This window comes from Homo sapiens, chromosome 4 (genome assembly GCF_000001405.40).
Source record: "Homo sapiens chromosome 4, GRCh38.p14 Primary Assembly".
NCBI classification, from domain to species: Eukaryota; Metazoa; Chordata; class Mammalia; order Primates; family Hominidae; genus Homo; species Homo sapiens.
The window spans coordinates 99,054,992-99,069,702 of NC_000004.12; the positions used below are offsets into that span (position 1 = coordinate 99,054,992).

The window sequence follows — 14,711 nt, forward strand, 5'->3', positions numbered from 1 at the left end:
AAATTGTGACACAGAGACATGAAGTGAACATGCACTGTTGGAAAAATGACATTGTTAGACTTGCTCAGAGCAGGGTTGCCACAAATCTTCAATTTATTTTTAAAAAAAAAAGCATCTGGTCAGATGTGGTGGCTCATACCTGTAATTCCAGCACCTTGGGAGGCTGAAGCAGGCGGATCATTTGAGGTCAGGAGTTCTAGACCAGCCTGGCCAAAATGGTGAAACCACGCTTCTACTAAAAATACAAAAATTAGCCGGCCATGGTGCATGCAACTGTAGTCCCCAGCTACTCAGGAGCCTGAGGTGGGAGGATCACTTGAACCTGGAAGGTGGAGGTTGCAGTGAGCCGAGATCGTGCCACTGCACTCCAGCCTGGACAACAGAGCAAGAGTCCATCTCAAAAAAAAAAAAAAAAGAGAAAAGAAAGAAGGAAGCAGTATCTGTGAAGCATAATATAGTGAAATGCAATAAAACAAGGCATGCCTGCATATTACAGTCATTCTGTGAGAGACTATAGATCAGGTACAAATTTTTTAAAAAGTACCTAAGAGTGTCTGCGATAGTATAGTCACTCAGATAATGTGTATTTGTTGAGTGAGGTATGTTGGGAAACTGAAACTTTAATCAGTGTAAAAATTATTGAGAGATATGTTACATGTTGTTTTAGTCTTTGAAATCCAAAGGGCTTTTGCACTGATAGCCTCAGTTCTGATTGGTCACTTTTCAAGTACTTTCTAGCTATACATGGCCAATGCTGCTGTTCTGGACGGCAGAGTTCAAGAGTCTTTCATCCTTTTTACTTTCTGTGACACCACACTGACATTCTTGACGTTTTCTTTTTGGTTTCTCCAAGGAAATACAGACCAATTCTGTATATGTATTAAGCATGTCATTTTGAAAGTTTATGAATTTAGAAATTAAAAGTCAAATGTTTGTTTTTCTTTTCTTCCTTTTTTCAAATGACCTTAGGATTTTATAACAGTTTAGAAGCTCCAGATTTGAAATCTGCAGTAAGTGTATTTTGGCAATACCTAAGATAGTGGAAAGCAGCACGATAGCTATTCATCTGGAAAGTTATGCAGGAATATAAACGTGTAGGGGAGGTTAGACCATTCCTGGAAAGAGGAGAGTTTAGTTGAGTCAGCCTCAAAGGGCGGGCAAATTTGCCATTCATAACAAAGTTGCAGATCAGAACAACCTCGCAGAGGAACCCTGAAAAGCTGATGTATTAGCCATCTGGTGGTCAGGTTGGGCATTGCAGTCATTCACTTAGCTGATACCCTTATTAGGTTTTGTTTAACTTGGAATTTAAATTAGTTCTCCATTTTTGTCTAAAAAAGCCTATTCCTAGTTTTAACATTTTTGGCATTTTTGAGGGGTATGGCAGGTCTGGTCACTGTAATTTATTGTTGTATTGCTCATGATGATCCTGAAAAAAACTTACATTAGTGAACTTGGACAAAGAAGCTAAAAAGTACTTGGAGAGAGAAATGGAGTTTGCTTTTTTGCTTTGAATTAAAAAATAATGGTCTCCTTAGTTGTTTGTTTTTTGTTTTGTTTTTTGTTTTTTTTGTTTGCTTGTTTGTTTGTTTGTTTTTGAGACGGAGTCTTGCTCTGTCGCCCAGGCTGGAGTGCATGGCACAATCTCGGCTCACTGCAAGCTCAGCCTCCCGGGTTCATGCCATTCTCCTGCCTCAGCCTCCCGGTAGCTGGGACTACAGGCCCCCGCCACCACGCCCAGCTAATTTTTTGTATTTTTAGTAGAGACAGGGTTTCACCATGTTGGCCAGGATGGTCTCGATCTCCTGACCTCGTGATCCACCAACCTCGGCCTCTCAAAGTGCTGAGATTACAGGTGTGAGCCACTGCGCCCGGCCTTGTTTTTATTTTTGAGAGAGTCTTGCTCAATCGCCCAGGCTGGAGTGCAGTGGCGCAATTGATCTCAGCTCACTTCAACTTCTGTCTTCTGGGTTCCAGTGATTCCCTGCTTCAGCCTCTTGAGTAGCTAGGATTTCAGGTGCACGCCACCACACCTGGCTAATTTTTGTATTTTTAGTAGAGACAGGTTCCGCCATGTTGGCCAGGCTGGTCTCAAACTCCTGACCTGCCTCAGGTGATCCACCTGCCTCGGCTTCCCAAAGTGCTGGGATTATAGGCATGAGCCACCGCACCCAGCTTATTTTTTAAAAAGTAGGTTAATGTGCATAGATTTTGTTCTTCTTTGAAGATGAGAAAAACACAACAGCTTATGAAACATTATGAAAATCATGTAGTTTCTATGGGCTGTGCACCTGTGTGCAAACACATGCTTACCCCCCAAAGCGGTGGGAAATTTCTGGCATAATCTGAAACATCTGTCATTCTCCTTTGAGCTTCTCTACCCGGATGAGTAGTGGAACTCTTGGTTCTGTGATTGCAATTCTAATCATGAGGTAATAGAAATCAAGGCACTTTTCTTTTATTCTTTATTTGCCACTTTTCTTTTTATAGAAGTGATACTCATCTCTGAAATACAGCCTACAAATACCTCTGTTTTCCTAGAGAACACATAAGCGTAATTGAAATGTGCCTAGGACAATACGTGCACCATATTAGATGGCTGCCAGTATAATACCTGTTTGTTGAACTTTAAGAAAGGGAATCAGGGTAATTAATTTAACAATCACTGATGGGAATTTGAGTTATGTACTCTTTCTAGTTAGCTGTTCAACAGTACACTGTTGGTTTTGCTACCTTTTGAGATTTTTTTCTTTGATTTCAGAAAATAAAGCAGTTGGAGTGATGAAGTCGGGCCATGTATTTACAATTGAGCCAATGATTTGTGAAGGTGAGAAAAAAGGATGCCATGATATTTTTCAATTGAATTTATATGTATTTTAGGTAATTCATCATGTCAGTGGTCTTTTCTACCTGCTTGCTTTTTGCTTCCTACTCACTCCCTGTCCCACCTCAAACTTGATTCAGTATCGTGAAGAACTGAAAATTGTGAGGGTTGGCAAGAACGGCATGGGTTCTGCGTGGTAGTCTTCTGTCAGGAGATGCTGAAATGCTTGAATTCTGGTCCCTTTTCATAAAGATCATGTCAAAGGGTGCATTGTAATAATGAGGTGCCCAGGTCAAGTCTGTGCGGACGTTCTTGCTTGATGTAGGAGAGGGAAGAGGAGGGAACAGAGCAGAGCATTGACGAGCCACCCAGTTCGAGGCAGACATGATTATATGATTTAATTCTTCACAATTTATAAGGTAGGTGTTACCCCATTATAGAAACTAGGAAACTGGTCCTTGAAGAGGGTGGGTAGCTTGCCTGTAACTTAGCTTGTTACTTGGCAGAATTTGTCAGACTCAGCTCATGAGCTGTTCTGACCCTTCATGGTCTGTACTCATGTCATCACGTGGCATCATATAGCTATTGTGGGGAAAGCACACCAAGGACACTTGGAAAGCACACTTGGCTCTGGCAGCCTCCCCACTGTTGTCATCTCTTCCAGACAGGCTTGTAGCAGTGATAGGAGACTGGGAGTCACAATTAGGGCTCCTCACCGAGATTTTCAGAGTGATTCTGGTAATGGAGCTTTCTGGTTAGGGGATGCAAAGTGAGGCAGTAGCAGTAGAGCTTGTGTGTCCTGAGCCCTGTTTTAAAGGATACTCCCTCTCTTGATCCTTCCAGTCTTTTTATAACCCAGTCTTGGGAGTGACTTCTATATTGTCTTTCTTAGAAGTGATTCACTGAATCCAGCCCGCACTCAAGGGGAGCAGGAGCTCACACAAGGGCCTGCATGCCAGGAGGCTGGGGATCACTGAAGTCACTTTAGAGGCTGCCTTCTAAAGCTGGTTCCTTATTGCGTTTTCTGTAAAATGAAAATTAGAATCTCTATCTTGCCAACACCCAGGGCTGCTAGACTGAGATGATTTATGTTATGTTATATACTTTAAAAGACTGCACAAATGTGCAGTAAAGTTTTTGTCATCCTCTTATAATAAGGATAAAGTTCTGATCACGTGCAACCAGTTGTAAAGATGGTAAGTATTTAGCAGTGAAAAGAAAGATAGTGGGAGGAAATTGTCATTTTGGCTACGTATTTCCATTAACTAGCACCTGGTTGGTGAGCCATGATGTAGTGTTTTCAGTAAGCAAATAACTTTCTATACAGCCAGCACAGGTAATTAATCATCAAATTATAGCAGATATACTTGAAGTGTAACTCAGCTAGGTTAAATCCCTGGACTAGAAAGTCTCAAATCTGCAGGAGAATTTCCTCAGAATAGCCAAATAAGTTTGACTTGACATTACTAAAAATCCTGTTTTATCAGATCACAATAAAATTACAGTAGTAATGTTTTAAATTTGTGTAAAGGCCATTTGTGTAAAGGCCATTACATTGAAAAACATCGATGTACTCATCTTTAGTTGCTTGATGAGGCATGAGTTAACTTTTTTAGGCCGCCTCGTATTTTCTTTTTAGCCTGGGATTTAATATTGCAAAAGTAGTTTACTTCACTACAGAGTTTATGTTCTGGGATTTGTCTGTCTGAGGCAGTGAGTCCTAGAGGTAATATGTTTCACCTAAAGATTACTCAAAATGAAGAAAGTATTGATTTTTTTTTAACATCTAATTTTGAAAGAAGAAAGCTCGCAAATACATCTTTTACAGTAGTATCTAGAATTGCCTTTCTCATTCCACCTCTGCTTCACATTCTCTTGGGCCTTTGCTTTCTGCTTTCCCTCATTATGACCCCTTCACCCCCTTTCCCTCCTTTCTCTGAGTTTTCTTTCATGGCCTCCCAGATTCACTGTCCCTTTGCTTCCCTTCTCTGGTTTCAACTCCTGTCCAGACCATTCTGCTTCATATTTTTCTTATGCTCTCACACCAGTCTTTCTTTTGCCCCTCTTTCTGATTCCAGGGGTATAGTTCACAAAAATTTCACTGTATAATCTGTTCTCACCATCTGTTTGTGTGCCTACCATTTTGAAATTATATCAGGAATTGAATGCTGTAATAAAACTGTAAACATTTACATGATTTCCTTCACAATATATGCTGAGTATAGTTTTGTCAGATGCCCAAGTTATACTAGGAAAGAGCTAAATTCATTCAAGTTTTTTTTCTGATTTTTTAATTGTAAAATACACATCTCATTTTTAAATGTACAGTTCAATATTATTAAATACATTCATAACGTTGTGCACCCATTACCACCATCCATCTCCAAAAGTCTTTTCATCTTGTAAAACTGAAACTCAACCCATTAAACATTCCCTTCCTATTGCTCACTACTCCCAGACCTTGGCACCCACTGTTCTGCTTTCTATCTCCATGATTTTGACTACTGTACTCTACCTCATAGAAGTGGAATCATTAAGCACATGCTTTTTTTTTTTTTTTTTTTTTGAGACGGAGTCTTGGTCTGTCGCCCAGGCTGGAATGCAGTGGCGCGATCTCAGCTCACTGCAAGCTCTGCCTCCCAGGTTCATGCCATTCTTCTGACTCAGCTTCCCGAGTAGCTGGGACTACAGGCGCCCAACACCATGCCCGGGTGATTTTTTGTATTTTTAGTAGAGATGGGGTTTCACTGTGTTAGCTAGGATGGTCTCAATCTCCTGACCTTGTGATCTGCCCGCCTCGGCCTCCCAAAGTGCTGGGATTACAGGCGTGTGCCACCGCGCCTGGCCAAGCATATGCTTTTTTATGACTGGCTTATTTCACTTAGCATTATGTTCTCAAGGTTCATCTGTGTTGTAGCATATTGCAGAATGTCCTTTTTAAAAAATTTCCTGTTTTAAAATGGACAATTATTGTACATATTCATAGGGTACATAGTGATGCTTTGATACATATAATGATACATATAATTAATTAAGGTTGTTACTCAAAGTTGTGGTGATTGGTATCAATATGTTGTTAAAATGAAATCCAGCGCCTTTATTTTGGAAATTCCATCTTGATTTGATATTTGGGATATATAAAAAATGTGGTTGTAATACATCTGATGAAATTTAAACATCAAACATACTGAAGACCAAAATGAAGTTGGAAAGGCATTAGCTAAAACAATTGGCATGTAAATAAGGATCTTAGTAGTGAATTTTTTCCTTGGCTTTCTTCTTGATAGAGTTCATTTAGAAAACTGAGTGAACTAAGAAATTGTTTTTGTTTGTTGAAGGCGGATGGCAGGATGAAACCTGGCCAGATGGTTGGACTGCGGTGACAAGAGACGGAAAGCGGTCTGCTCAGTTTGAGCACACCCTCCTGGTCACAGACACTGGCTGTGAAATCCTAACCCGGCGACTTGACAGTGCACGGCCTCACTTCATGTCTCAATTTTAATTTCTCCCAAGATGGCACATCTCAGTACCTTCTTACTGTGCTATGCATTTTATTGAGAGTACAGAAAGGAAGAGGAACCTTTTTTTAATCACTTGTTTTGTTTTGACTATAGATAAGAAAGGACTACAGCATTTGATGTGTGTCCTCAAGAACTTGTCTTGGGTCTGAAAAAGCTGAGAAGAATAAAGGAAACATTGCTCAACTCTTCAGCCCCCTCCCCCTGCACACCTGTTTTCTCATTTGCCCTTTGAGCACTTTTACTTAAACTTGCTTGTAGTTGCTTTTATCACTGCCGCAAAACAGCCATCAAGAGCCATCTGCTTTCCAGGTGAACATTGGAAATGAGAATCTTTGAAACTTAGCAATATGTGTTGCACCAGATTTTTTAAATTATATATATGGAAATATATATGTATACATTTTAAGTTCTGTATACATAATTACCAAACACTATGTGACCTGGAGTTTGTGTTGTTTCTGCTCTGACAGGTTTATATGTTCTTACAAATGGATCCATAGTTTGCAGTGATTTAATTCCTGGTTGGGATTTGGCCTCCCCTCTCCCCCATGCTAATTATTTACCCTTGTAATTGTGCATAGGGAAGCACTCACCCAATGAGACTTTCTCCAATGTGGACTCTGTGTGTCAGTGAATGAATGTAGTAAAATTCACTTTGGAAGGTTATCAGGCTTTTAAAAATCTAGTTTATGGCAAAAATAGCCATTTTCCAAGTGGTGGCTGACTGTTGCAGGGAATGAGAATTTCATAATACACTGCTATTTCAGACCTCTGTTTGGTCAGAAATGGAAAAGAAAAAGCCCCCTTTCTTCCCTTTTCTGTTTTACTTCAAGGGCATACCTTGGAGGTGCTCAGAGAAGCGTGAAGTTTGCACTATGGTGGAGGATGGGGAAAGAGTTCTAAAGTGTCTCCAGCTGTGAACCCAGGAGGTCAAGTGGGCTATTAAAATCTAACGTTGAGTAAATGTGATAGTGATGAGAAAGGAATTTTGTGTACTGTAACCTTGCAGTAGAGATGCAGCTGTCCTTCGTGTGTGGAAACACACCTCTCCTTTACATAGTTGGGAACCTCATTAGAAATGACCTCAGCTGCCCCATATCTACGTTCCTTTCAGCAGTTGTCCAAGTAGGAGTGTATCCAGTGAAGACATATCAAATCACAAAGTCATTGTCATTAGAGTGTACTTGATTACTGGGCATCCTTGTAATATAATTTCATACCACTGACACATTATACTTGTAAGAGAACATCTTTCCCAGAGTGCCTCAGACCTTATTGCTTTAAAATATAATAATGTTTTCATTACTTTTATTATTTGAATGATTTAGTAAAGTTGACTGAATCTGGTATAGACTTTGGGAGTATGTGTGTGAAGTTTTTATCAAACTGTAATATTTGTGAATGGAATGCCTTGCAATATGAATGTTAATATAATGTGTAAAGGGAGATTAAAAAGTTTGAATGATTATCCTACCATGTAGTCATTAACTTTGCTGCATTTCTTTGGGATTTCAGAGGGAAATGGTGGGAATGGGGAGGCTGTTTGATAATCTAAAATAAATTCATGACCATTTGAGTAGAAATGTTTTTTCAGGTGTAATGGCTGTACATAAACTCAGTAGAGTGCCAGCAGCATTTGAGATGCAACCATATTTTTGAGAGCTTTTAAGACAGAATGCTGAATATTAGGGGAGCATTTTATGTACTGATTGTGGAATTAACAATGTGGGCTTATTCAGTGTCTGTCATTAGAATATAAGCTGAAGGAAGAAAGATCTTGGTGTGATAGTTTTTTGGTTAAAAGATAAAACACCACACTGGTGATAATGCTTTTCTTAGTTTGGGAGATTTTAAAACAATATGGACTCTAGTCTAATTGCATATATCTAATTACAAATGTTCATTGGATTTAGGTGACAAAACACCTAGTTTCATCATTCTGCCACCTTTTTACAAAACAAGTCAGAGCATGGTGTGCGAGCCTGTAGCATTAGCTACTCTTGAGACTGAGATGGGGGGATCGCTTGAGCCCAGGAGTTCAAGGTTACAGTGAGCTATGATTGTGCCACTACACTCCAGCCTGGGTGAGAGAGAGAGACCTCATCTCAAAAAAAAAAAAAAAAAAAAAAAAAAAATCAAAGTATTAACTTCTTTTTTTACATTAACTTTTAGAATAATTTTTTCCCCCTGCCAGTCTTCCAACTCCTTTGGAATTATAACTTGGAAGAAGGGAAACATGAACTTCATTTTATGTCTTTTGTTGATAAAAAGGATTAACCAACACCTTTATACCACTTGCACCCACATATCTAAATTAATAGGCAAGAGTTGATGAGGTTTAGGAATTTGTTTGCTTGATTCCTCAGTTTGTTCTCTAACGACTTCTGGGTTTTCATTGGATTTGGTTAAAACTGAGAGCAGGATGCTCCCCTTTGCTTAACCTCTACCCTCATGGTATCTGTAAGCGATTTCCTTCCTGTTTTTCCCTTCTTTTAAAATTTTTATTTTTTATCTCCAACTTTTTATATTGAAAATTTTCAAATTACAGAAAAGTTGAAAGTATAGTACAGTGAAATAATCATATATCCCTTACCTTTATCTAACAAATGTCATTTTGTCACCTTTGCTTTATCTCTGTATAAGCACTTTTCTTTTGAAAGAAGCAACATCGTACTTCACCCTACTACATCAGCATGTATCTCTTAACCTAATGACATTCTTTTACATGATCATAACACAATTAGAAATTTAGTATTAATACAGAATTATATAATGTATAGGATATAAACTTTAATTTTCCCCCAAAATGTTATTTAAAGCTTCCAAATTCATGGCATTTAGTTGTCATGTATCTGTAGTCTCCTTTTTTTTTAGATGGAGTTTCACTCTTGTTCAGGCTGGAGTGCAGTGGTACAATCTTGGCTCACTGCAACCTCCACCTCCTGGGTTCAAGCGATTCTCCTGCCTCAGCCTCCCTAGTAGCTGGGATTACAGGCCCCCGCCATGACCCAGGCTAATTTTTGTATTTTTAGTAGAGACGGTTTCACCATGTTGATGCCAGGCTGGTCTCGAACTCCTGACCCGTGGTGATCCACCTGACTCGGCCTCCCAAAATGCTGTGATTACAGGAGTGAGCCACCATACCTGGTCTTAGTCTTCTTAACTCTAGCAGCCGTGTCTAATCCTTTGAGTGCGAGGATCTTTTATCTGTGGTGGTGGATATCATGAAAATTATGCACAGGCCTTTGTTTGAGCTCATCAGCTATCGTTGGTGTATTTTACATGTGGCCCAAGATAATTCTTCTTCCACTGTGGCCCAGGGAAGCTAAAAGGTTGGACACCCATGCTAGAATAACCCTCACACCTTTTTTGATGTCTTACGAAATGGACACTTGAAAAATCAGGTTAGTTTACAAAAGTCCGTTTGTCTGATTGTTCCTCATGAGGATAGATGCAGGATAAACATCTTGGTGGAAGACTACAGAAATGGCAGTTGTATGCCCCATTCATTGTACAACGTGAGGCACATAATGTTGTTGTCACCTTATTGCTGATGCAAAGTTTGATCACTTGGTGTTTGTCAGACCTTTTCACTGTAAAAATACCTTTTTTCCTAAACAAGTAATCTGGGAGATTAATATTTGCTTGATACTACCAGACAGATGTAAAATTGTTTCAAAATTACTACACTAAAATCACTGCCAACAATAAAGTACACTTTCTTTATGATTCTTTTTTTCTTAGAACATATCATTGAAGTAATTTAGATCTTATTCTGAATTTCATAAACCATGGGCTACTTTAAGAATGAATGCAGTGAATCTCGGGGGCAAAAAATACAGTAGAGGTGGGGAGGGATATATTAGTGGTCTGGCAGTTAGAAATGCTGGAACTGTTTGAGACAGTGTAGTAAGATTCTGTCTACATTTGATAGTGTTTAACTTTTACCAAGCTTTCCAGCTGCAAGAGGAGCAAATCATACCACTTGTAAATTACACCACACTTGTGGCAGTGTCGCTCATTTTCCAACTCCTTTATTTATTTATTTATTTTTATTTTTTTCTTTTTTTATTATACTTTAAGTTCTAGGGTACATGTGCACAACGTGCAGGTTTGTTACGTATACATGTGCCACGTTGGTGTGCTGCACCCATTAACTCGTCATTTACATTAGGTATATCTCCTAATGCTATCCCTCCCCCCTCCTCCCACCCCACGACAGGCCCCAGTGTATGATGTTCCCCTTCCTGTGTCCAAGTGTTCTCATTGTTCAATTCCCACCTGTAAGTGAGAACATGTGGTGTTTGGTTTTTTGCCCTTGCGATAGTTTCCTGAGAATGATGGTTTCCAGCTTCATCCATGTCCCTACAAAGGACATGAACTCATCCTTTTTTATGGCTGCATAGTATTCCATGGTGTATATGTGCCACATTTTCTTAATCCAGTCTATCACTGATGGACATTTGGGTTGGTTCCAAGTCTTTGCTATTGTGAATAGTGCCACAATAAACATATGTGTGCATGTGTCTTTATAGCAGCATGATTTATAATCCTTTGGGTATATACCCATTAATGGGATGGCTGGGTCCAATGGTATTTCTAGTTCTAGATCCTTGAGGAATTGCCACACCGTTTTCCACAATGGTTGAACTAGTTTACAGTCCCACCAACAGTGTAAAAGTGTTCCTATTTCTTGACATCCTCTCCAGCATCTGTTGTTTCCTGACTTTTTAGTGATTGCTATTCTAACTGGTGTGAGATGGTATCTCATTGTGGTATTGATTTGCATTTCTCTGATGGCCAGTGATGATGAGCATTTTTTCATGTGTCTGTTGGCTGCATAAATGTCTTGAGAAGTGTCTGTTCATATCCTTCGCCCACTTTTTGATGGGGCCAACTCCTTTATGTTAGAACATAACATTTAGACATTCATGTTTTAGGAACAAACTGTTTCATAACATAGGCTGCATTAGGCTAAAACCTATAAAAGTTGTGTTTTGTTCTATTTTAAAAATGGACACCTAAGGAAAGGTTAGCTTAGCACACAGTCTGTGTATGGAAACTCTGGCCCTTATGGCAACCTTCTCTCATCTTCCTTTTGGTGCTAAGTAGGAAAAAGAAAAATAGTCTGCATTTATTTGGGTGTTTTGCAAGATGAAGCAGGAATAAGGTGGCCCTGGCTACGTGTTTGCTGCTTTTCATTTTGGGGACTGTGGGTGAGCAACAATAGAACTGTGTATATGGTGATTCTGGTTATTTTTGAAAAAAGGTCAACACTGGTATTTTACTAGAATACTCCAAAAAGTTAAAATATGGAGCACTCAAGAAGGACTTCCTATAAAAATTTTCACTTATCACAATTGTGCTGTTAGTCGTTCACAGTATTTTAATAGTTTTTTGTTGTTGTTGTTGTTGTTGTTCCTCAGGCTGGAGGCAGTGGCATGATCATGGCTAACTGCAGCCTTGACCTCCTGGGCTCAAGCAGTTCTCCCACCTCAGCTTGCCACGTAACTAGGACTACAAGCATGTTCCAACACACCTGATTATTATTATTTTTCTATAGAGACAGGGTCTATGTTGCCCAGGCTGGTCTTGAACTCCTGGCCTCAAGTGATCCTCCCACTTCAGCCTCCCACAGTGCTTGGATTACAGGTGTAAGCCACCACACCCAGCCAATTTCTACAATTTTTAAATTGATTCTGTGGCTAGGAGAACAAATCACCACACTTCTCTGTGGCAATCTCCTATTTGTGCAGTGATATGACAACTACCAACTGTTTTATTCTATACAGAATGTGACTGGCTATGAAGCAGATTTGCTTTGTTTCAGTAGTTGGGTCAGAGATCACCAGACAATTCCAGATAGAATTTTTTAAACTTAAATCTGAATTTGAGCCCTGGATGATTCTGAGGAAACAATGCCAAGGATAAGAACATTTAATATTAACATGTAGATTACAGAAAGAGATCAACATATTTTAAAGCGTGTTCTGCTGCTTTATCTTGCTTAACATATCTCGATATTTTTGGCAGTCAAGAGTACATGTTTAAACTGGAGGTAATTCCATGGTGGGTTATCACTCTTTTCTTGAAAGGAGCATGTGCATATTTCTCTTATACATAAGGAATTCTGATATGTCCAGTTTGATAAAAATCAATCTGCTTAAGAGCCCATTACGCTGCTTTGTCACCATAATGTTCCACCGAAGGAAATCTTGTATAATAGAGGACTTTGCTCATCTTGTTCACTTGGTAGTTGTTCCTTAAAGACACAATTACCTTGGTATAGTTCTATGCAATTATTATCTAAATAGCTGTTTATACAGTACTTAATAAAATGTTTTCCAAGTGTGTTTGTAGTGTACTTTTTCTAAAAGGTATTTGCTGACAAAGAAATTGATCTTGTGTGTGAACTGAAAAAAATTGGCTGAAGCCAGTTAGTCAACAAGGTGTCCCTGTAGGCCCAAAGAACTAAACTGTACTTTAGGACTTTGATTATCAACCTACATGGCAGATTGGTAGCCGAGCAGAAAAGTTCTGAAGCATTCTGTGCATGTAAAATATGTTTCCCCTTCCCTGAGTCAACAAAACATTTTGAGAATTACCAGCTAAGTAAAATTTTCCATTCAGATGGGATGAACAGAAATAGTGCTATGTATACTTTTTGGAGCCATTTTTGTTAGGTGTTAAGTTGTACACATGTTGACTGGCTCCACTGTAGTAAAGTTTTGGACATAATGCAGTTTTTTCCATACCTCTATCCCAAACGACGTCATCATCCCATAAATTCTACTCTATATGTTAGTTTTGTGTGAATAAAGAACTTGTGCCTATCAGACATGCCTGTAGACGGACTGTCTCCAGCGAGTATCACTAGGTAGGTTACATAGCAGAATAGCCAAACATGCTAAAAATGGCAATGCAGGAAATACTTGAAGAGAAATTTTTATATTGGGAATATAAAAATTTTGCAATTAAACATAAAGATGCTTAAGTTCCTTACATGGCAAAATTTTAGATCCTTTAAAAAAATTTTACCAGCTTTAATGAAATATACAGTGGAAGTTAATATCCATCTGTATTGCAATTATATACCTCTTGTCCAAAAAAGCAGCTTAAAGATAACTTTCAAAAGTTTCCCAACAATTAATAATTTATTGTATATTTCAAAACAGCTAAAAGAGCAGCTTTGGAATGTTCTTTTAGAAATGATCATTGTTTGAGGTGATGGATATTCCAGTTATTCTGATGTGATCATTATATATTGTATGCACATATCAATATCACATGCTCGGTAAGTACATACAACTATTATGTATCCACTGAAAAAATGTCTAACAAGACTTCTAAAGTGGTTGAATCCCAATTTGGGACAACCAGGGTAGATTTGCTTACATGCACTTAGTGAATGGTTGGTTGGTTTTTTTTTTTTTTGAGACTGAGTCTTGCTTTGTCGGTCAGGCTGTAGTGCAGTGGCGCGATCTCGGCTCACGGCAACCTCTGCCTCCTGGCTTTAAGCCTCCCGAGTAGCTGGGATTACAGGTGTTGTGCGCCACCACACTCAGCTGATTTTTGTTAGTAGAGACAGGGTTTCACCATGTTGGCCAGGCTGGTTTCAAACTCCTGACCTCAAGTGATCCACCTGCCTCGGCCTCCCAAAGTGCTGGGATTACAGGTGTGAGCCACCACGCCTGGCAGTTTTTAGCATATATAACATACATATGTTAAGCAATTCCTCAATTCAAGACGATGTATTAAAATGATCTTAAAAAGAAAGACTTGGCTAGGCGCAGTGGCTCACGCCTGTAATCCCAGCACTTTGGGAGGCTGAGGTGAGTGGATCACCTGAGGTCAGGAGTTCAAGACCAGCCTGGTGAACATGGTGAAACCCCGTCTCTACAAAAAATACAAAAATTAGCCGGGCATGGTGGCATGCGCCTGTAATCCCAGCTACTCGGGAGGCTGAGGCAGGAGAATCGCTCTAACCCGGGAGGTAGAGGTTGCAGTGAGCTGAGATCGTGCCACTTCACTCCAGCCTGGGCAACACAGACTCTGTCTCAAAAAAAAAAAAAGACTTGACAACTATAGCCGAGTCTCATGACCCAGGAATTCTAATAGTAAAGATTTTGTAAAATTGATTATTTTTATTATTTTTGTGACAGGGTTTCACTCTGCCACCCAGGCTGGAGTGCGGTAGTGCAATCACAGCTCAAAGCAGCCTCGACCTCCCGGGCTCAAGCACAGATTTTGTAAAACTGATTCTTTATACTGGATCTCTGAAAGAGATAGTTGTGCTTTCAGCCAGGAAATGCTAATACTAAACTTAATCAGCTGGCTCAAGAGTATGTACTTAACTGTGCCAGAAA

The 14,711-nt window shown here is 39.4% G+C and overlaps 1 protein-coding gene across 15 annotated transcripts in view; it reads left to right on the forward strand.

The window, feature by feature from the left end:
• METAP1 (methionyl aminopeptidase 1) overlaps nucleotides 1-7,818 on the forward strand; it is a 67,089-nt gene extending 59,271 nt beyond the window's left edge. For all 15 annotated transcript variants that reach the window (NM_015143.3, XM_017007914.3, XM_011531779.3 and 12 more), the window contains 2 exons: nucleotides 2,762-2,827; nucleotides 6,163-7,818. In NM_015143.3, the coding sequence (NP_055958.2) occupies nucleotides 2,762-2,827; nucleotides 6,163-6,326 (230 nt within the window). In that variant the 3' untranslated portion in view covers nucleotides 6,327-7,818. The remainder of the gene's footprint in view (nucleotides 1-2,761; nucleotides 2,828-6,162) is intronic.
• The last annotated feature ends 6,893 nt before the right edge of the window (nucleotides 7,819-14,711 follow it).